This window comes from Homo sapiens, chromosome 4 (assembly GCF_000001405.40).
Source record: "Homo sapiens chromosome 4, GRCh38.p14 Primary Assembly".
In the NCBI taxonomy this organism is placed as follows: domain Eukaryota; kingdom Metazoa; phylum Chordata; class Mammalia; order Primates; family Hominidae; genus Homo; species Homo sapiens.
This window is the reverse complement of record NC_000004.12, coordinates 94,138,715-94,160,206: the sequence shown is the minus strand read 5'-3', so window position 1 is coordinate 94,160,206 and position 21,492 is coordinate 94,138,715. Positions and strand designations below refer to the sequence as shown.

Here is a 21,492-nt window from a genome sequence, read left to right as displayed (position 1 = left end):
AATTTGCTTTGCTCTGCTTTGTGAAATACAGGAAACTTTTTTTTTTTGTAAAGGAATTGTGTTTTTCTGATATATTACTGTGTTTAGTTATTAAGCCAGGATCATTAGAGGTGTAGAAAAATGTGCTAGATAAAAATCTCAGTGGAATTAGTATTGAGGTGATCCTGTTATATGCAGGTGGTGGATAAGGTGACTCACTTTTCAGTCTGTGATGTTCTGGCTCCGAGAAGTTCTAGACAATGTAGAGAGTAGAAATCAGGATGACTAGGCTGCTGATATAATCTGTTACTTTTGTTGAATAAAAGAAAACCTGTCACTTTAAAATGTGTTTTGTTTTGAATTTAAAAATTTTTTAATGACTTTCTGTTAGTAAAGTTAGCAAATAAAGGATAATAACCTGAAAGTAATCATTGACTAATCACAATTTTAAAGAAAAATATTTGGGCAAGAAAATGTGAAAAAAGCCTCACAAACTAATTGTATTGGAGGGTACCTTTTGCTAAAATATTTTACCTTTCAGCTACCTCCAAATCCAAAAGGTCTATTTTTAGGCAATTAAGTCATCATAAAGGAGAACACATATTTGAAGGCAGGTGGGCCTGAATTTAAATGCCAGGTCCATCACTTACTGTGAAATCATTAAGATTTTTTCTTAGTACAGGTATATATACCTGTACTTAGATATTTCCTTAGTACAGGTATATATACACAAGCATATTTTTAATGAAATAAGGAGGAAATACTCTCGACAGTCAGTCCTCATGTCTGTAACTGGTTACATGGCCATAGTTGGGATTGATAACTACCTTCTTCTACTACCCATTCTGTATTCCCTTTCCCTTCAGCAAGCGTCTCTGCTGGTCATGGTTTTTTACCTGATGGAGTGAGCCAAACTTTCATTCCTGAAGGGTCTGGGCCGTTTGTAGTCCTGCCTGGATGGAGTTGTTGTAGTTTTCTATTGACCTTAGTTACAGGGCAGGGTAATAGCAAGAGATGCCCTAAGTAATCGCCTGTATTCCAGACATACTCTGTATTCCTTATCTGCACTGTGGAGTAGTAGACTGATTTCATCTTGATAGTCTGGGTCAATCACCTCAATTAACACTATACCTCCCTGCTTAACCTGTATACTTAGAGGTAGGAGGAGCGTGGCCAGGGGGCAATCTTAACTTCCCAGTTCCATAGAGTCATTGTTGTGTCCCCTGGTGGCAGCATTCCTCCCTCTGGAAATAAGACTTCTAGGCCAGCAGAACATAATGTGGCAGGAACAGGAAGCAAAAATTTTGCTAGCCAGGTCACTAGGGGTAATTGCGAGTGGTGCCACTTCCACTTCCACCCCTTGATTCCTGGACGCATGAATACTGGCTCTGAAAGAAACAGTACTGTGATGGTTAATATTATTTGTCAACTTGATTGGATGAAGGGGTGCCCAGATGGCTGGTAAAGTATTGTTCTTGGGTGTGTCTGTGTGGATGTTGCCAGAGGAGATTGACATTTGAGTCAGTGGGCTGGGAGAGGAAGACCTGTCCTCAGTGTGGGTGGACACCATGCAATCAGCTGCCAGCACAGCAAAGACAAAGCAGGAGGAAGAAGGTGGGATAACTTTACCTGCTGGATGCTTCTTCCTGCTCCTCCTCCCTTGGACATCAGACTCCAGGTTCTTTCTTTCTTTCTTTTTTTTTTTTTTTTGCAGAAGAAGTTTTCTTAGTACAGAACAAAATGAAAAGTCTCCCATGTCTACTTCTTTCTACACAGACACGGCAACCATCCGATTTCTCAATCTTTTCCCCACATTTCCCGCCTTTCTATTCCACAAAGCCGCCATTGTCATCCTGGCCCGTTCTCAATGAGCTGTTGGGCACACCTCCCAGACGGGGTGGTGGCCGGGCAGAGGGGCTCCTCACTTCCCAGTAGGGGTGGCCGGGCAGAGGCGCCCCTCACCTCCCGGGCGGGGCGGCTGGCTGGGCGGGGGGCTGACCCCCCCACCTCCCTCCCGGACGGGGTGGCTGCCGGGCGGAGACGCTCCTCACTTCCCAGACGGGGCGGCTGCCAGGCGGAGAGGCTCCTCACTTCTCAGACGGGGCGGCTGCCGGGCGGAGAGGCTCCTCACTTCTCAGACGGGGCGGCTGCCGGGCGGAGGGGCTCCTCACTTCTCAGACGGGGCGGCTGCCGGGCAGAGGGTCTCCTCACTTCTCAGACGGGGCAGCCGGGCAGAGATGCTCCTCACTTCCCAGACGGGGTCGCGGCTGGGCAGAGGTGCTCCTCACATCCCAGACGGGGCGGCGGGGCAGAGGCGCTCCCCACATCTCAGACGATGGGCGGCCGGGCAGAGACGCTCCTCACTTCCTAGATGTGATGGCGGCCAGGAAGAGGTGCTACTCACTTCCTAGGTGGGATGGCGGCCGGGTGGAGACGCTCCTCACTTTCCAGACTGGGCAGCCAGGCAGAGGGGCTCCTCACATCCCAGACGATGGGCGGCCAGGCAGAGACGCTCCTCACTTCCCAGACGGGGTGGCAGCCGGGCAGAGGCTGCAATCTCAGCACTTTGGGAGGCCAAGGCAGGCGGCTGGGAGGTGGAGGTTGTAGCGAGCCGAGATCATGCCACTGCACTCCAGCCTGGGCACCATTGAGCACTGAGTGAACGAGACTCCGTATGCAATCCCGGCACCTCGGGAGGCCGAGGCTGGCGGATCACTTGCGGTTAGGGGCTGGAGACTGGCCTGGCCAACACAGCGAAACCCCGTCTCCACCAAAACCAGTCAGGTGTGGCGGCACGAGCCTGCAATTGCAGGCACTCGGCAGGCTGAGTCAGGAGAATCAGGCAGGGAGGTTGCAGTGAGCCGAGATGGCAGCAGTACAGTCCAGCTTCGGCTCAGCATGAGAGGGAGACCGTGGAAAGAGAGGGAGAGGGAGACCGTGCGGAGAGGGGGAGGGGGAGGGGCCAGACTCCAGGTTCTTTGGCCTTTGAACTCTTGGACTTACACCAGTGGTTTGCCAGGGGGTCTTGGGCCTTCAGCCACAGACGAAAGGCTGCACTGTCAGCTTCCCTGGTTTTGAGGCTTTTGGACTCAGACTGAGCCACTACTGGCTTCTTTCTTCCCCAGCATGCAGGTGGCCTGTCGTGGGACTTTGCCTTGTGATTGTGTGAACCAATTCTCCGTAATAAACTCCCTTTCATATATACACAGCCTTTGGGAGAACTTTGCCCCAGCCCTGCAAAGTATTGTCACCAAGTTGGTATTGTAACTGAAACGCCAAAAGGCCATTCCACCGTTCTATATCAAGCCAGCTGCTTCAGGATAATGGGGAACATAGTAAGACCAGTGAATTCCATGAGCATGAGTCCACTGCCATATTTCTTTGGCTGTGAAGTGCCTTGGTCAGAGGCTATGCTGTGTGGAATACCATGGAGGTGGATAAGGCATTCAATGAGCCCATGAATTTTAGTCTTGGCAGAAGCATTGGGTGCAGGAAAGGCAAATCCATATCTGGAGTATGTGTCTATTCCAGTAAGGACAAACTGCTGCCCCTTCCATGACGGAAGAGGTCCAATGTAATCAAACTGCCACCAGGTAGCTGGTTCATCACTCCGAGGAATGGTGCCGCATCAACGGCTCAGTGCTGGTCCCTGCTGCTTGCAGATTGGGCACTCAATGATGGCCATAGCCAGGTCAGCCTTGGTGAGTGGAAGTCCATGTTTCTCACTCATGCATAACCTCCATCCATGCCTCCATGGCCACTTTGTTCATGAGCCCATTGGGCAATGATAGGGATGGCTGGGGAAAGAGGCTGAGTGGTGTTCACAGAGCAGGTCATCCTATCCTCCTGATTGTTAAAATCCTCCTTTGCTGAGGTCACCCTTGGGTGAGCATTGACATGGGACACAAATGTCTTCAAAGTTTTTGACCATTCAGAGAGGTTGATTTACATACCTCTTCCCCAAATTTCTTTGTCATCAATTTCCAATCATGTTCCTTCCAGGTTCCTGATCATTCAGCCAAACCATTGGCTACAGCACATGAATTCATATAAATGCATGTCTGGCCATTTCTCCTTCCAAGAAAAGTGCACAGCCAGGTGTACTGCTCAAAGTTCTGTCCACTGGGAAGAGTTCCCTTCATCACTGTCTTTTAGGGACATCTCAGAAAGGGGCTGTAGTGCTGCAGCTGTCCACTTTCGGGTGGTGCCTGCATATCATGCCAAACCATCTGTAAACCAGGCCCTAGTTTTCTCTTCCTCTGTCAACTGGCCATAGGGAATTCCCCATAAGGCCATCAGCACAGGCTGGCGGAGAGAAGGCAGGGTGGCAGGAGTGGGGACCATGGGCATTTGAGCCACTTCTTCATGTAACTTACTTATGCCTTCAGGATCTGCTTGAGCCCAATCACGTGTATACCACTTCCATTTGATGACGGAATGCTGCTGTGATAGACAGTTAAGGTCGCATGGTGACTTGATGACCCATAGTCAAATGTTCAGTTTCCACTAAAGCCCAGTAACAGGCCAAGAGCTGTCTCTCAAAAGGAGAGTAGTTATCTGCAGAAGATGACAGGGCCTTGCTCCAACATCCTAGAGGCCTCCACTGTGATTTACCTATGGAGGCCTGCCAAACACTGCAAACAGCATCCTTATCTGCCACTGACACCTCAAGCACCATTGGATCTGCTGAGTCATATGGCCCAAGTGGCAGAGCAGCTTGCACAGTAGCCTGGACCTGTTGCAGAGGCTTCTCCTGTTTTGGACCCCACTCAAAACTAGCAGCCTTTCAGGTCACTTGATAAATGGAATGGAGTAACACACACAAATGAGGAATGTGTTGCCTCCAAAATCCTAATAGGCCCACTAGGCATTGTGCCTCTTTCTTGGTTGTAGGAAGGGCCAGATACAACAACTTATCCTTCACCTTGGAAGGACTATCTCAACATGCCTCACATCACTGGAACTCTGGAAATTTCACAGAGGCAAAAGGCCCCTGAATTTTAGATTTATTTCTCATCCCCTGACATGCAAATGTCTCCCCAGTTGCTACTTTTTTTTTTTTTTTTTGAGATGGAGTCTTGCTCTGTCACCCAGGCTGGAGTGCAGTGGTGTGTTCTCGACTCACTGCAAGCTCTGCCTCCCAGGTTCATGCCATTCTCCTGCCTCAGCCTCCTGAGTAGCTGGGACTACAGGCACCCACCACCATGCCTGGCTAATTTTTTGTGTATTTTTTTTAGTAGAGACGGGGTTTCACTGTGTTAGCCAGGATAGTCTTGATCTCCTGACCTCGTGATCCGCCCGCCTCGGCCTCCCAAAGTGCTGGGATTACAGGCGTGAGCCACCGCCCCTGGCCAGGAATGGAGAAAAAGGCATTTGCCAAATCAATAGCTACATACCAGGTACCAGGAGATGTGTTAATTTGCTCAAGCAATGAAACCACATCTGGTACAGCAGTTGCAATTGTAGTCACCACTTGGTTAAGCTTACAATAATCCACTACCATTTTCCAAGATCCATCTGTCTTCTGAACAGGCCAAATAGGAGAGTTGACTGGGGATGTGGTAGGGATCATCACCCCTGCACCTTTCAGGTCCTTGATGGTGGCACTAGTCTCTGCAATCCTTTCAGGGGTGCAATATTGTTTTTTTATTTACTATTTTTCTAGGTAGAGGCAGCTATAATGGTTTCCCTTTGGCCTTTCTCACCATAATAGCCCTCACTCCACAGGTCAGGGAACCAATGTGGGAATTCTGCCAGCTGGTAAGGATGTCTATTTATTTATGAATTCTGGCACTGGGTAAATGACCACAGGACAGGTCCTGGACCCACTGTAAGTCAGATCTGAGCCAAAATGCCATTAATTACCTGACCTCCATAAGCCCCTACTGAAACTGGAAGGCCAAGGATCCCCTGGAATCAATGTCAGTTCAGAGCCAGTGTCTAGTAATTCCCAAAGGTCTGATTATTCCCCTTTTCCCAGTGCACAGTTACCCTGGTGAAAGGCCAGAGGTCTCTTTGGGAAAGGATGGAAGAAAGATTAACAGTATAAATTTTTAGTAGTATAGTGGGGTCCTTCCTCAAAGGGACCTGGCCTCCTCGTCATTCAAGGGGTTCTGGGTGTGTAAACTGGCTCAAGTGCGGAAACTGATTGAAGGCTATGATTATCTGCTTTTATAACTGAAATTAGACTTTTCTCTACTTGACCTGGAAGTTTTCTTTTTATAGATCAGGTAAAAACGTAGTAGGCTTCCTATCAATTTCACTTCTAGGAATGCCGTGATTAATTAGCCAATACCAGAGCTCTACATGGGTCAGAATATTCTGATTGTGGCTTTGCCTGTGCTGTGCATTATGGTAACTACTCCCACGTTGCCTTGATAATTGAGTGCTACCACTTGGCTCCTACCACTTGGAATCCGATTATTCCCATTGTGTTTAAGTTTTCCAGTTGAGTGACTGTGGTTTCTACTGTAAGATCTAGCACACAGAGAAGAGCAATCACAGAACTCTTTAAAGATGCTGGTGCTCCCCTCACAAATCTATTTCACAGGGTATTGGTGAAGGGTATGCCCTCTGAACCCTCCCGTTTGGGGTGAGTAGGTCTAACGTGAAAAAATCCACTCTAGCATTCCAGTCTCCCAAAGCCTTTGTATCTCTTCCTCTACATTAAACCAAGGGAGATCAGGCATTTACAGCTCACTCACAGTGGGCCATCTTTTGATCCATGTTTCAACTAACTAAGAAATAAATTATTAGAACCTTTTAAAACTCCCTTAGCTGGCTGGGCTTAGTGGCTCAAGCCTGTAATCCCAGCACTTTGGAGGCTGAGGTGAGTGGATCATTTGAGGTCAGGAGTTTGAGACCAGCCTGGCCAACATGGTGAAACCCCATCTCTACTAAAAAATTAAAAAAAAAATAGCTTGGTGTTGTGGCGGGCACCTGTAACCCCAGCTACTTAGGGGGCTAAAGCAGGAGAATTGCCTGATCCTGGGAGGCAGAGGTTGCAATCAGCCGAGATCACACCACTGCACTTTAGCCTGGGCATCAGACTGAGACACCATCTCAAAAACAAAAAAAAAAAGCACAACTCCCTGAGCTGCAACATTAAATGCAGAATCTCTGCCTAGTGGGTCCATATCAAAAAATTTAGCCTGATCCAACTTTATGTTCCTACCACCATTATTTCACACCCTTAATATCCATTCTCATACCTATTCTCCAGGCTTCTGCTTATATAAATTAGAAAACTCAAGTAGTTCTTTTGGAGTATAGTGCACCCCCTCATGGGTCACACTTTGTACCTCACGTTTAGGGGTCTGCTGGGACTTGAGTCTAGTTACAGGTCTAGAAGCAAAGAGAGGTAGTAGGGGTGGGTCCTGAGGAGAATCAGCATTGTCTTGCCTGGCAGCTGCCTCAGGGGAGGCCATCACTGTTGCTCAGCCAGTGCAGGGTTAATCTCAGACAAAGGTGGAGAGGCTGATAGCAGCTTGGGTGAGGGAGGGGATGTTGCCCCCACAGGGGAGTGGGTTGTGAGGGAGGTGAAGGCCATTTCCTCTGGAAAATAAACTCATGGGAATTCAGGAACTTAGTGTCCCCAGCTTCATCAGGGTCCTTCCACACATCCCCATCTGAAGTTGTAGAGTTCCATTATTTCCTAGTCAATGGTCTCACTTTATCAGTAGACACCTGGTGAGGCTGAGTGTGTGCCTTTCATTGTATGTCAGCCACTCACATGATAAGAGCTTGGTCTTATTTTCAGCAATTTCAGCCCTTTGTCTGCAGAAGACAAGACAAACAAACCTGAAAAAAACCCAGGGCAATCTTAGAAGATTGAGGTTAAGTATGCACTTCTGGAGCTGAGATATATAATCTCTGAGCTCATCTTTTTATTTCATCACTTTGTCCAGCAAACTTAGGAGCAGCCAACCAACTTCACTATGTTCCTTGGTTCTCTGTAAACATTCAAAGGTATCATGTATAGAGTCACTAAACTCCTTGCCTCTCAGTAGTGGTGAATCAGGAGTATCAAATGCATTTATTTTGCATAACTCTCTAAACAATGCATGCCAAGGACTACCAGTGCTCTATGCACTCTTAGAAGTAGAGTCGTTTTTTTCCATTTGTTTGTGTCCTCTCTTATTTTCTTGAGCAGTGGTTTATAGTTCTTCTTGAAGAGGTCCTTCACATCCCTTGCAAGTTGGATTCCTAGGTATTTTATTCTCGTTGTAGCAGTTGCAAATGGGGATTCACTCATGATTTGGCTCTCTGCTTATCTGTTGTTGGTGTATAGGAATGCTTGTGATTTTTGCACATTGATTTTGTATCCTGAGAGTTTGCTGAAGTTGCTGATCAGCTTAAGGAGTTTTTGGGCTGAGACAATGGGGTCTTCTAAATATACAATTGTGTCATCTGCAAAGAGAGACAATTTGACTTCTTCTCTTCTATTTGAATACCCTTCATTTCTTTCTCTTGCCTGATTGCCCTGGCCAGAACCTCCAATACTATGTTGAATAGGAGTGGTGAGAGAGGGCATCTTTGTCTTGTGCCGGTTTTCAAAGGGAATGCTTCCAGCTTTTGCCCATTCAGTATGATATTGGCTATGGGTTTGTCATAAACAACTCTTATTATTTTGAGATATGTTCCATCAATACCTAGCTTATTGAGAGTTTTTAACATGAAGGGATGTTGAATTTTATTGAAGGCCTTTTCTGCATCTATTGAGATAATCATTTGTTTTTTGTCATTGTTTCTGTTTATGTGATGGATTATGTTTATTGATTTGCGAATGTTGAACCAGCCTTGCATCCCAGGGATGAAGCCAACTTGATCGTGGTGGATAAGCTTTTTGATGTGCTGCTGGATTAGGTTTGCCAATATTTTATTGAGGATTTTTGCATCTGTGTTCATCAGGGATATTGACCTGAAATTTTCTTTTCTTTATTGTGTCTCTGCCATGTTTTGGTATCAGGATGATGCTGGCCTCATAAAAAATTTCATGCTCATGGATAGGAAGAATCAATATCTTGAAAATGGACAGAATTCCCAAAGTAATATATAGATTCAATGCAATTCCCATCAAGCTACCAGTGACTTTCTTCGCAGAATTAGAAAAAATTACTTTAAATTTCATATGGAACGAAAAAAGAGCCGGTATAGCCAAGACAATCCTAAGCAAAAAGAACAAAGCTGGAGGCATCATGCTACCTGACTTCAAACTATATTACAAGGGTACATAACCAAAACAGAATGGTAATGGTACCAAAACAGATATATAGACCAATGGAACAGAACAGAGACCTCAGAAATAACACTACACATCTACAACCATCTGATCTTCAACAAACCTGACAAAAACAAGCATTGGGGAAAGGATTCCCTATTTAATAAATGGTGCTGGTAAAACTGGTTAACCATATGCAGAAAACGGAAAATGGACCCCTTCCTTACACCTTATACAAATTTTATACCTTATATAAAATTATACAAAATTACACCTTATACAAAATTACACCTTATACGAAAATTAACTCAAAGTGGATTAAAGACTTAGAAGTAAAACTCAAAACCAAAAAAAACCTAGAAGAAAACCTGTGCAATACCATTCAGGACATAGGCATGGGTAACGATTTCATGACAAAAACGCCAAAAACAATTGCAACAGAAGCTAAAATTGACAAATGGGATCTCATTAAACTAAAGAACTTCTGCACAGCAAAAGAAACTATCATCAGAGTGAACAGGCAGCCTACAGAATGAGAGAACATTTTTGCAATCTACCCATCTGATGAAGGTCTAATTTCCAGAATCTACAAGGAACCTAAACAAATTTATGAGAAAAAAACAACCCCATCAAAAACCGAGAGAAGAATATGAATAGATACTTCTCAAAAGAAGACATTTATGCAACCAACAAACATATGAAGAAAAGCTCATCAACTGTGGTCATTAGAGACATGCAAATCAAAACCACAATAAGAAACCATGTCATGCCAGTTAGAATGGTGATTATTACAAAGTCAGGAAACAACCAATGCCGGCAAGACTGTGGAGAAATAGGAACGCTTTTACGCTGTTGGTGGGAGTGTAAATTAGTTAACCATTGTGGAATAGAGTGTGGTAATTCCTCAAGGATCTAGAACCAGAAATACCATTTGACCCGGCAATCCCATTACTGGATGCATACCCGAAGAATTATGAATCATTGTAGTATAAAGACACATGCACACGTATGTTTATTGCAGCACTATTTACAATAGCAAAGACTTGAAACCAACCTAAATGCCCACCAATGATAGACTGGATAAAGAAAACGTGGCACATATACACCATGGAATACTATGCAGCCATAAAAAGAATGTGTTCATGCCCTTTGCATGAATGTGGATGAAATTGGAAGCCATTATTCTCAGCAAAGTAACACAGGATCAGAAAACCAAGCACTGCATGTTCTTACTCCTAAGTGGGAGTTGAAAAATGAGAACACGTGGACACAGGGAGGGGAACATCACACACAGGGGCCTGTCAGGGGATGGGGGGCAAGGGGAGGGAGAGCATTAGGACAAAAACCTAATGCATGTGGGGCTTAAAACCTAGATGATGGGTTGATAGGTATAGCAAACCACCATGGCACATGCGTACTTATGTAACAAACCTTCATGTTCTGCACATGTATCCCAGAACTTAAAGTAAAATGAGAAGAAAAAACAAAGTAAAGTCCTTAGCATTTTTAGGTCTAATCAGATTAGAGAGCTAACTCCAGAAATGACAAAACCAATTAAGGAAATTCATCCTTAAAATTCTGTTCCTCTAGAACCACCCCTGGTACCAACATCTCTTTTAGTCAGAGTTCTCCAGAGGGACAGAACAAATGGGATATATGTATATATAAGAAAGAGTTTATTAGCGAGAATTGGCTCACATGATCACAAGGTGAAGTCCCATGATAGGCCATCTGCAAGCCAAGGAAAGAGAGAAGCTGGTAGTGGCTCAATCCAAGTTCACAAGCCTCAAATCCAGAGAAACCGACAGTGCTTCAGCCTGTGCCTGAAGACCTGATAACCCCTGGAAAGCTGCTGGTGCATGTCCCAGAGTACGGAGGCTGAAGAACCTGGAGTTTAATGTGCAAAGACAGGAGGAACAAAAGCAATAATTCGGCATAAGAAGAAGAAAGAGAACCAGAAGACTCAGCAAGCAAACTTATCCCACCATCATCCACCTGCTCTATTCTTGCCACTCTGGCAGTGGCTAGTGTGCCCACCCACATTGAGGGTGGGTCTTCTTCTCCCAGCCCACTGACACAAATGTCAGTCTCCTCTAGCAATACCCTCACAGATACATCCAGAAACAATACTTTACTACCTATTTAGGCAGCCCTTGGTCCAATCAAGTTGACACCTAATATTTCCTATCATGTTGGCTACTTATATATTTTCTTTGGCGAAATGTCTAAGTATTTTGCCTATTTTTAGATTGAGTAATTTGTCTTTTTGCCTTTGGATTTCAAGAGTGCTTTTTAAAAAATTATTGATTAGAAATCTTTTACACGATATATTATTCATGGAGTCCATTCCAAGATAGCCTAATAGGAACAGCTCCGGTCTGCAGCTCCCAGCATGATCAATGCAGAAGACAGGTGATTTCTGCATTTCCAACTGAGGTACCTGGTTCATCTCACTGGGCCTGGTTGGACAGTGGGTGCAGCCCATGGAGGGTGAGCTGAAGCAGGGTGGGGCATCACCTCACCTGGGAAGTACAAGGGGTCAGGGGATTTCCCTTTCCTAGCCAAAGGAAGCCGTGACAGACTGTACCTGGAAAAAACGGGACACTTCTGCCCAAATACTTCACTTTTCCCAAGGTCTTAGCAACCAGCAGACAAGGAAATCCTCTCCCGTGCCAGGCTCAGTGGGTCCCACGCCCACAGAGCCTTGCTCACTGCTAGCGCAGCAGTCTGAGATCGAACTGCTAGGTGGCAGCCTGGCTGGGGGAGGGGCGTCCACTGTTGCTGAGGCTTGAGTAGGTAAACAAAGTGGCCAGGAAGCTTGAACTGGGCGGAGCCCACTGCAGCTCAGCAAGGCCTACTGCCTCTATAGACTCCACCTCTGGGGGCAGGGCACAGCAGAACAAAAGGCAGCAGACAACTTCTGCAGACTTAAACGTCCCTGTCTGACAGCTCTGAAGAGAGCAGTGGTTCTCCCAGCATGACGTTTGAGCCCTGAGAACGGACAGACTGCCTCCTCAAGTGGGTGCCTGACCCCTATGTAGGCTAACTGGGAGATACCTCCCAGTAAGGGCCGACAGACACCTCATATAGGCGGGTGCCCCTCTGGGACAAAGCTTCCAAAGGAAGAATCAGGCAGCAATATTTGCTGTTCTGCAATATTTGCTATTCTGCAGCCTCTGCTGGTGATACCCAGGCAAACAAGGTCTGGAGTGGACCTCCAGCAAACTCCAACAGACCTGCAGCTGAGGGACCTGACTGTTAGAAGGAAAACTAACAAACAGAAAGAAATAGCATCAACATCAACAAAAAGGACATCTACACCAAAACCCTATCTGTAGGTCACCAACATCAAAGACCAAAGATAGATAAAAACACAAAGATGGGGAGAAAACAGAGCAGAAAAGCTGAAAATTCTAAAAACCAGAGTGCCTCTTCTTCAAAGGATTGCAGTTCCTTGCCAGCAACTGAACAAAGCTGGACAGAGAATGACTTTGATGAGTTGACAGAAGTAGGTTTCAGAAGGTCAGTAATAACAAACTTCTCCGAGCTAAAAATGTATGTTCGAACCCATTGCAAGGAAGCTAAAAACCTTGAAAAAAGGTTAGATGAATGGCTAACTAGAATAAACAGTGTAGAGAAGACCTTAAATGACCTGATAGAGCTGAAAACTATGGCATGAGAACTTCGTGACGCATGCACAAGCTTCAATAGCGGATTCGATCAAGTAGAAGAAAGGGTTTCAGTGATTGAAGATCAAATTAATGAAATAAAGCAAGAAGAGAAGGTTAGAGAAAAAAGATTAAAAAAAAAAAACAACAAAAAACAAACCAAGCCCCCAAGAAATATGGGACTATGTGAAAAGACCAAATCTACATTTGATTGGTATACCTGAAAGTGATGGGGAGAATGGAACCAAGTTGGAAAACACTCTTCCGGATATTATCCAGGAGAACTTCCCCAACCTAGCAAGGCAGGCCAATACTCAAAATCAGGAAATACAGAGAACACCACAAAGGTCCTCCTTGAGAAGAGTAACACAACCCCAAGACACATAACTGTCAGATTCACCAAGTTTGAAATAAAGGAAAAAATGTTAAGGGCAGCTAGAGAGAAAGGTCAGGTTACCCACAAGGGGAAGCCCATCAGACTAACAGCACATCTCTCTGCAGAAACCCTACAAGCCAGAAGAGAGTGGGGGCTAATATTCAACATTCTTAAAGAAAAGAATTTTCAACCCAGAATTTCATATCCAGTCAAACTAAGCTTCATAAGTGAAGGAGAAATAAAATCCTTTACAGACAAGCAAATGCTGAGAGATTTTATCACCATCAGGCCTGCCTTATAAGAGCTCCTGAAGGAAGCACTAAACATGGAAAGAAACAACTGGTACCAGCCACAGCAAAAACATGCCAAAGTTAAAGACCACTGATGCTAGGAAAAACCTGCATCAATTAACTGTCAAAATAACCAGCTAACATCATAATGACAAGATCAAATTCACACATAACAATATTAACCTTAAATGTAAATGGGCTAAATGCTCCAATTAAAAGACACAGACTGGCAAATTGGATAAAGAGTCAAGACCCATCACTGTGCTGTATTCAGGTGACCCATCTCATGTGCAGAGACACACATAGGCTCAAAATAAAGGGATGGGGGAAGATCTACCAAGCAAATGAAAAGCCAAAAAAGAAAAAAAAAAAAAAAGCAGGGGTTGCCATTCTAGTCTCTGATAAAACAGACTTTAAACCAAAAAAAAGTCAAAAGAGACAAAGAAGGCCATTATATAATGGTAAAGGAATCAATTCAACAAGAAGAGCTAACTATCCTAAATATATATGTACCCAATACAGGAGCACCCAATTCATAAAACAAGTCCTTAGAGACCTACAAAGAGACTTAGATTCCCACACAATAATAATGGGAGACTTTAACACTCCACTGTCAATATTAGAAAGATCAACGACACAGAAGGTTAACAACGATACTCAGGAATTGAACTCAGCTCTGCACCAAGTGGACCTAATAGACATCTACAGAACTCTCCACCCCAAATCAACAGAATATACATTCTTCTTAGCACCACATCATACTTATTCCAAAATTGACCACATAGTTAGAAGTAAAGCACTCTTCAGCAAATGTAAAAGAACAGAAATCACAACAAACTGTCTCTCAGACCACAGTGCAATCAAATTAGAACTCAGGATTAAGAAACTCACTCAAAACCACACAACTACATGGAAACTGAACAACCTGCTCCTGAATGACTACTGGGTAAATAATGAAATGAGAGCAGAAATAAAGATGTTCTTTGAAACCAATGAGAACAAAGACACAATGTACCAGAATCTCTGGGACACATTTAAAGCAGTGTGTAGAGGGAAATTTATAGCACTAAATGCCCACAAGAGAAAGCAGGAAAGATCTAAAATTGACAACCTAACATCACAATTAAAAGAACTAGAGATGCAAGAGCAAACACATTCAAAAGCCAGCAGAAGGCAAGAAACAACTAAGATCAGAGCAGAACTGAAGGAGATAGAGACACAAAAAACCCTTCAAAAAATCACTGAATCCAGGAGCTGGTGTTTTGAAAAGATCAACAAAATTGATAGACTGCTAGCAAGACTAATAATGAAGAAAAGAGAGAAGAATCAAATAGACACAATAAAAAATGATAAAGGGGATATAACCACAGATCCCACAGAAATACAAACTACCATCAGTGGATACTATAAACACCTCTCCACAAATAAACTAGAAAATCTAGAAGAAATGGATAAATTGCTGGACACATACACCCTCCCAAGACTATACCAGGAACAAGTTGAATCTCTGAATACACCAATAACAGGCCCTGAAATTGAGGCAATAGTTAATAGCCCACCAACCAAAAAAATTCCAGTATCAGACGAATTCACAGCTGAATTCTACCAGAGGTACAAAGAGGAGCTGGGTACTATTGCTTCTGAAATTATTCCAATCAATAGAAAAAGAGGGACTCCTCACTAACTGATTTTATGAGGCCAGCATCATCCTGATACCAAAGCCTGGCAGAGACACAACAAAAAAAAGAGAATTTTAGACCAATATCCCTGATGAATATCGATGCGAAAATCCTCAATAAAATACTGGCAAACTGAATACAGCAGTACATCAAAAAGATTATCCACCACGATCAAGTTGGCTTCATCCCTGGGATGCAAGGCTGGTTCAACATTTGCAAATCAATGAATGTAATCCATCACATAAACAGAACCAACGACAAAAACCACATGATTATCTCAATAGATGCAGAAAAGGCCTTCGACGAAAGTCAACAGCACTTCATGCTGAAAACTCTTAATAAACTAGGTATTCATGGAACGCATCTCAAAATATTAAGAGCTGTTTATGACAAACCCACAGCCAATATCATACTGAATGGGCAAAAACTGGAAGCATTCCCTTTGAAAACCCGCACAAGAGAAGGATGCCCTCCGTCACCACTCCTATTCAACATAGTGTTGGAAGTTCTGACCAGGGCAATCAGGCAAGAGAAAGAAATAAAGGGTATTCAATTAGGAAAAGAGGAAGTCAAATTGTCCCTGTTTGCAGATGACGTGATTGTATATTTAGAAAACCCCATTGTCTCAGCCCAAAAACTCCTTAAGCTGATAAGCAATTTCAGCAAAGTCTCAGGACTTGTATGTTTGGTGGAATTTGGCTGTGAATCTATCTGCTCCTGTTTTTTCTTTTTTTTTGGGGCGGGGGTGCGGGTAGAATTTTTAGTACTGAGTCAATCTCCCTACACATTATTGGTCTGTTCAGGCTTTCTATTTCTTCCTAGTTCAACCTTGGGAGGTTGTATGTTTCCAGGCATTTATCCATTTCCTCTAGGTTTTCTAGTTTGTGAGCACAGAGTTGTTCATAGCAGTCTCTGATGATCTTTTAAATTTCTGTGTCAGTTGTAATATCTCCTTTTTCATTTCTGATTGTATTTATTTGAACCTTCTCTTTTCTTGGTTAGTCTAGCTAACAATCTATCAATTTGTTTTATATTTTCAAAGAACCATTTTTTCATTTTACTGTTCTTTTGTATTTTTTTTTTTTTTTTTGTCTCCATTTTGTTTAGTTTTGCTCTGATCTTTGTTATGTCTTTTCTTCTGCTAGCTTTGGGTTTGGTTTGTTCTTGTTTTTCTAGTTGCTTGAAGTGTGTCACTAGGTTGTTAATTTGTGATCTATTTTCTAATGCAGGCATTGAAGGCTATCTATAAACTTTCCTTTTAGCACTGCTTTGGCTGTACCCCAGATTTTTCTGGCATATTGTGTCTCCATTTTCATTTGTTTCAAAAATTTTTTAAATTTGTCTTAATTTTGTCATTGACCCAAAGATTGTACAGGAGCAGGTAATCTAGTTGCCATGTGTATATATAGTTGTGAGAGTTCCTCTTGCAATTGGTTTCTAGTTTTTTTTCACTATTATCTGAGAAGATACTTGATGTGATTTTGATTTTTAAAAATTTATTGAAGCTTTTTTGTGGCCTAACATATATAGTCTTCTTGGAGAATGTTTAGTGTACTGATGAGAAGAATTTATGTTCTGCAGTTGTTAGATAGAATGCTCTGTAAATGTCTGTTGTGTCCATTTGGTCTAAAGTACAATAGTCCAGTAATATTTGTTTTATGAATCTGGGTGCTCCAGTGTTGGCTAAATATATACTTAGGATTGTTATGTCTTCTTGTTGAATTGATCCCTTTATCATTATATAATGACCTTCTTTATCTTTTTTTTTTTTTTACTGTTTCTGATTTAAAATCTGTTTTATCTAATATAAGTATAGCTACTCCTGCTTACTTTTGGTTTCCATTTGTGTGGAATATCTTTTCCCATCCCATTACCTTCAGTCTATTAAGTGTCTTTATGAGTAAGGTGAGTTTCTTACAAGCCATCTATAGTTGATTCATGTTTTTATATCCATTCTGCCAAACTGAATGTTTTAAATAGAGCGGTTAATCCATTTAAATGCAAGGTTAATATTGGTATGTGAAGTTTTGTCCCTGTCATAATGTTAATTGTTATCTAGTTGCTTTGCAGATTCTTTATTTACTTTTCCTCTGTTTGTTTTGTCTTTGTGGTCTGGTGTTCTGTCATGTTGCCATTTGATTTCTTTCTTTTCTTCATTTGTGTAATTGCTCTATAAGACATATGAGTTTTATACTTTCATGTGTTTTTATGATGGTGATTATTGACCTTTTGTTTCCATGTTTAGAACATTTTGAACCTTTCTTGTAGGACTGGTGTAGTGGTGACAAATTCCCTCAGTATTTGCTTGTTTGGAAAAGACTATTTCTCCGTCTCTTAATGAAGCTTATTCTAGCAGGATATAAAATTTCTGCTTGACAGTTTTTTTCTTTAAGTATTTTGAAAATAGAATCTCAATCTTTTCTGGCTTGTAGGGTTTCTGCTGGGAAATCTGCTATTAGTCTGATAGGGTTTCCTTTATAGGTGATTACATGCTTTTCTTTTGCTGATATGAAAAATTTTTCCTTCACGTTGAACTTAGACAGTCTGATGACTAAATGTCATGGTGAAGTCCTTCTTGCAATGTATTTTCCTGGAGTTTTCTGAGGCTTTTACAGCTCCATGTCTAGATCTCTTGCTGGACTAGGGAAGTTTTCCACAATTATATCCTCAAATAGATTTTCCAAACTTTTGCCTTTTTCTTCTCTCTCAGGAATACCTATGATTTGTAGGTTCAGATGTTTTACATAGTCTCATTGTTCCTGGAAGCCTTCATTTTTAAAAATCCTCTTTTGCTTTATTTTTGTCTGACTGAATTAATTTGAAAGATCTGTTTTCAAGTTCTGAAATTCTTTCTTCTGCTTGGTCTAGTCTACTGTTGAAGGTTTTTGTGTTTTGTTTTGAGATGGAGTCTTGCTCTGTCACCCACGCTGGAGTGCAGTGACACGATCTTGGCTTGCTGCAACTCCTTTCTCCTTTCAAGTGGTTCTCCTGCCTCAACCTCCCAAGTAGCTGGGACTACAGGCATGTGCCACCGTGCTTATTTTTGTATTTTTAGTAGAGATGGGGTTTCGCCGTGTTGGCCAGGCTGGTCTTGAACACCTGGCCTCAGCCTCCCAAAGAGTTGGGATTACTGGCGTGAGCCACTGCACCTGGCCTATTGTTGAAGGTTTAAACTATATTTTGTTATTCCTTCTATGAATTTTTCATTTCCAGAAGTTCTTTTTTTTTTAATCTATCACTTCGGTAAATTTCTCATTCATATCCTGAATTGATTTTCTGATTTTTTTTTGTATTGGTTTTCAGATTTCTCTTGGATCTCACTGAGCATCTTTAAAATAAATATTTTGAAGTCTTTATTTTGTATATCCAAAATTTCATTTGGAAAAATAAAAAATGAAAAAGTATAAAACAAAACAAAAAATTTTCATTTTGGTTAGAATATACTGTTGGAGAGTTACTGTGATACTTAGTGGGTGCTGTAACATCCTGTTTTTTCATACTTCCAGAATTGTTATGCTGGCTCCTTCTCATCTGAAGAAATTCATTTCTTGTTATTTTTGAATTTACTGTCGTTTAGACATGACTTGTTTTTATTCCCCTTGAGTATGTGACTGCAATGTACATTGAACAGGGTTGTTCGGCTTTGCTTCTGGGTGCTTTCAGTGGCAAAAATGCTGTATAAATTCCTTCTTTATAGATAGCCTCAGTGTGGTGAGGTTATCAAATGTTGGTTGTAGTAGTTGTGTACTGGGCATGTGAGCAGGCTTATGACCTCCTGAAGAACTGGAGTTGCAGAGGTCTTGAGAAGCTTATCTCATTCACAAGCACTGTGTACTTGTGTCAGCATATTTTGTATTGGATTGTGTAGTTCAACCTCCAGGTCAGTTACTGATACTTGTAGGTAACAGCTAGCTGCAGCAGTAGCAGTAGGAATTATGCTTTGTTAACGAGGAGATCTTTGTTTACTGGGAGAAGCTCTCTGATGCTTCTGGCAAGGGACTGGTCTGTGAAAGCACAGTGGCCTGGGCTCCATGCTCATCCTCAGGGAGGTGACGGTAAAGCTGGGTAGAGCTGGACCAGGCAGGCCTGCCCTCTGGTCCTCCAATGGTGGGTGCAAGCACCAGCCCTGACAAAGGTGGCAGAGGAGTCATTGGACCCCTGGTGAAACACACTGAGCTCTCTGCAGGGCAGATAGGGGGTGTCCCAGTACCATGGCCTCAGCATACATTAATGTGATTTATTTCCCTGTCATGTTTCCATCCAGATGCTCTGGATATTCAGTTTGGTCAGACACAGCTGTTTATTACTAAGCTGCAATGTAGCCCAGAACTGTAGGAGATGCCTACCTTGTGGCTCAACACTAAGCCTCTGTGCTGTCTGGAAATGGCTGCAGTGCAGTCTTCCCCCACAGTCCCAAACACACAGCTCCTTGGCCCTCCTGTTCTCCTTCACAGTTCTGTGCAGAGAGAGGAAGGGGTTCTGCCTTTCTTGCTAATCTGGGCCCAGAGGTCACATTGCCCATGGGGATGCAGTCTCCCCTCACAGGCCCAGGCAGGCTGCCCCCTCTGCTTGCTTGTGCTAACTTCTTGTTGGCAGCGACAGTCGCGTCAGCAGTTGTGAGCAGAGAGAGAGGAGAAATCTCCTTCTCTATGTCAGGCTCAAGTACTGAGGCTGCTCAGCTGGTGAAATGGGATTTCATTCCTCACTTGCAGAGCCCAGCATAGAGTGTGTCTGTTGGAAGGAGGGCTGCCAATCACAGCCCCAAGCAGGGAGCTTTTGGGTACTGGGAAACATACACTTTGGTTTCCTTTGTCCCAAGAGCTGTCCCGTTGGTGTGGTGTACTTTCCCTTCCATTAGGAGCAGCGCTCCACGGAGGGTTAGATGACTGGGAACCCTGAAGCTCCCTTGGGTCCAGACACTACTGTGCCATTACCACCCTCCTAGCGAGTGCTAGCGAACGTCTATGGGAGCTTCCAGGACATGGAAACACAAGGGCTGAGGTTCTTTGGGCAGAATTCAGTCCCCCAACAGCTGCGCCCCTACAATGGTGCCTCGCTGCAGACACTCGAGTCTGGGGAAAAGGCAAGTGCCCCTGCAAAAGATCACTGTCTAGTGTAATGCCCTCAAGAAGTCCCCAAATCACCGCCCTGACTAATGTCTGGGATCATGAGTGCAGAGAGCTCTCCTACTGTTTACATACCAGCAGTCTGCCATGGAGGTGAGGGGAGCCCAAACCCTCCCACTTACCCTTTCCACCCAATGCCAGGTCCCTCAGGGATTCCAGACAACGTCTGATGGCCCGACTTGGCCCCTTCCTTCCTTCTTTTTTTGTGCCTCAGTTTATTTTTCCCCATGAGCTCTCCATTGGGTTCTAGTACTCTCTCCTTGATATTCTATTCGAGTTACGATAATCTGTTTGTAATTTTGGTTCTTATTTCGGAGGAGAACTGGCAAATAATATTTCTAGTCAGTCATCTTGAACCTGTCTCCAGTTTTTTTTTTCTTACAGATCATGCTCTTGATGTAGCTTAAAAAGTTTGAACAGCCCAAAGCCATGCAAATTTTCTTAAAATATTTTATTCCAAGAATTTTTAGTTTATGTTTAATTAGTCTTGTGTTGAGAGCTAAGATAAGTTTTGAGTTAATTTTTGTGTTATTGTGTGAGTTAACAGTCTAAATTCACTGTTTTGTATGTACATTTCAATTGTTAAAAAGATTATCCTTTCCCTGTTGAATTGTCTTGGCACCTTTGTCTTAGTTTTAACCAATAGACCAAAAATATTTATGGTTGGACTCTTAACTTAGTTTAATTGACCTAAATGTCTCTCTGCATGCCAACTACACTGCCTGGATTACAGTAGCTTTATAGAGAGTTTTGGAATGGGGTAGTATGAGCTTTGCTTTGTTTTCAAGATTATTTTGCTATACTGAATCCTTTGCATTTTTGCATACATTTTGGGATCAGCTTGTCAGCATCTGTAAAATAGCTTGCTGGAATTTTGATAGGGATTGTGTTGAATATTTGGATCAATTTGAGGAGAATAGCCATGTTGATAATCTTGTCTTCCAATTGACAAACATGGCATATCTCTCCATTTATGTAGATATTTAATTTTTCTCAGCAATGTTTTAACATTTTGTGTGTACAAGTCTTGCATATCTTTTGTTAAATGTATTCTTTTTTTGTTTGTTTTTGAGACAGAGCCTCACTCTGTCACCCAGGCTGTAGTGCAGTAGCACAATCTCAGCTCACTGCCACAATCTCAGCTCACTGCAACC

At 42.9% G+C, this 21,492-nt stretch overlaps 2 long non-coding RNA genes across 2 annotated transcripts in view, besides 1 other annotated feature; one reads left to right on the top strand and one right to left on the bottom strand.

Annotated features, from left to right (window-relative positions):
* Positions 1 to 21,492, top strand: part of SMARCAD1-DT (SMARCAD1 divergent transcript) — an 89,737-nt gene that overhangs the window by 47,350 nt on the left and 20,895 nt on the right. The window lies entirely within an intron of this gene.
* Positions 10,859 to 11,885, bottom strand: LOC124900734 (uncharacterized). Its single transcript, XR_007058192.1, has 2 exons — positions 11,787 to 11,885; positions 10,859 to 11,086 (listed from the first exon to the last, which is right to left on the bottom strand). It is a non-coding gene; the product is annotated as an uncharacterized LOC124900734 (long non-coding RNA).
* Positions 11,875 to 12,169: an enhancer, noted in NCBI's record as "tiled region #519; HepG2 Activating DNase unmatched - State 4:PromP, and K562 Activating DNase unmatched - State 8:EnhW". NCBI's record gives its function as "activates a minimal TATA promoter and a strong SV40 promoter by Sharpr-MPRA in HepG2 and K562 cells {active_cell/tissue: HepG2 | K562}" and the evidence as "EXISTENCE:reporter gene assay evidence [ECO:0000049][PMID:27701403]".